Source organism: Homo sapiens, chromosome 11 (genome assembly GCF_000001405.40).
Source record: "Homo sapiens chromosome 11, GRCh38.p14 Primary Assembly".
Lineage (NCBI taxonomy): Eukaryota > Metazoa > Chordata > Mammalia > Primates > Hominidae > Homo > Homo sapiens.
Genome location: NC_000011.10, coordinates 57,969,590 through 57,971,185, shown reverse-complemented (window position 1 = coordinate 57,971,185; position 1,596 = coordinate 57,969,590).

Here is a 1,596-nt window from a genome sequence, read left to right as displayed (position 1 = left end):
CACGCAGGGTCATATTGGATATCTGGTTATGTGACTGGCTTTTTTCACTTGCTTTATATATTCATTCATTCCTAACACACTTAATGAGCATCTATTCTCTTCCAGTGCCTTCTAGGCCCTGGGAACATATTAGTGAACAAAACAGACAATTCTTGCCCTCAAGGAGCTTACATTCTTGTGAAGAAGGTGGACAAGAAAAACTAAGTAAGCAGATGGTATTTCATATGGCAATGTATTCGTCTGTTCTCACGCTGGTAATAAAGACATACCCGAGACTGGGTAATTTATGAAGGAAAAAGGTTTAATGGACTCACAGTTCCACATGGCTGGGGAGGCCTCACAATCATGGCAGAAGATGAAAGAAGAGCAAAGGGATGTCTTACATGGCGGCAGGCAAGAGAGATGAGAACCAAGCAAAAGGGGTTTCCCCTTATAAAACCATCAAATCTCGCCAGGCACGGTGGCTCACGCCTGTAATCTCAGCACTTTGGGAGGCCATGGTGGGCGGATCACCTGAGGTCAGGAGTTGGAGACCAGCCTGACCAACATGGTAAAACCCTGTCTCTACTAAAAATACAAAAATTAGCCAGGCATGGTTGTGGGTGCCTGTAATCCCAACTACTCAGGAGGCTGAGGCAGGAGAATCACTTCAACCTGGGAGATGGAGCTTGCAGTGAGCCAAGATGATGCCATTGCACTCCAACCTGGGCAACAGAGTAAGACTCTGTCTCAAAAAAATAAATAAATACAACAAAGTTAAAAAAAATCAAATCTCATGAGACTTATCCACTACCATGAGAATAGTATGAAGGAAACTGCCCCTATGATTCAATTACCTCCCACTGGGTCCCTCCCACAACATGTGGGAAATATGGGAGCTACAATTCAATATGAGATTTGGGTGAGGACACAGCCAAACCATATCAGTAATAAGTGCTATAAAAAGTGGGAGAGGGAAGATTGGAAGTGGGATATTGCTATTTAAATGATACTGAAAAAAAGTCTCTCTAATAAGATGATATTTGAGCAGAAACCTGGGATTCAAGTTACAGGAGGAAGCTGGAGTGGCTGAAACCAGCAAGAGGGACCTGCAAGCAGCTATGTGGGGTGTGTGCTGGAAGAGATCAAGTAAGGCTGTGAAGGCCACAGTGGAAGCCTTCCATTCTGAATGAGACTCATGCTGAGCATAGAAATATTCCTTTTTTTCTCATTTCCATTCCAAACCATTTTTCCTCCCCTACCACCCCACAACCCTACCTTAAACATTTTTAAATTATTCTTATGTCATCAGATTCTACCCCCACCACCTTCCTGTGACTGTCATACGCAACCCCAAGTCTCCTCTCTTTTGTAGAGACTGTAGCTCCCGGCTCAAGATCCTTCTGTCAGTGACCCTGTTATCCCTGTAACTCAGAGGTTCTCAACCTCGGCTGCACATTAAAATCACCAGTGGTGCTTATAAAAGAATACATGGCTGGGTACAGTGGTTCACGCCTATAATCCCAGCACTTTGGGAGGCCGAGGCAGGTGGATCACAAGGTCAGGAGTTTGAGACCATCCTGGCCAACATAGTGAAACCCCATCTCTACTACAAAT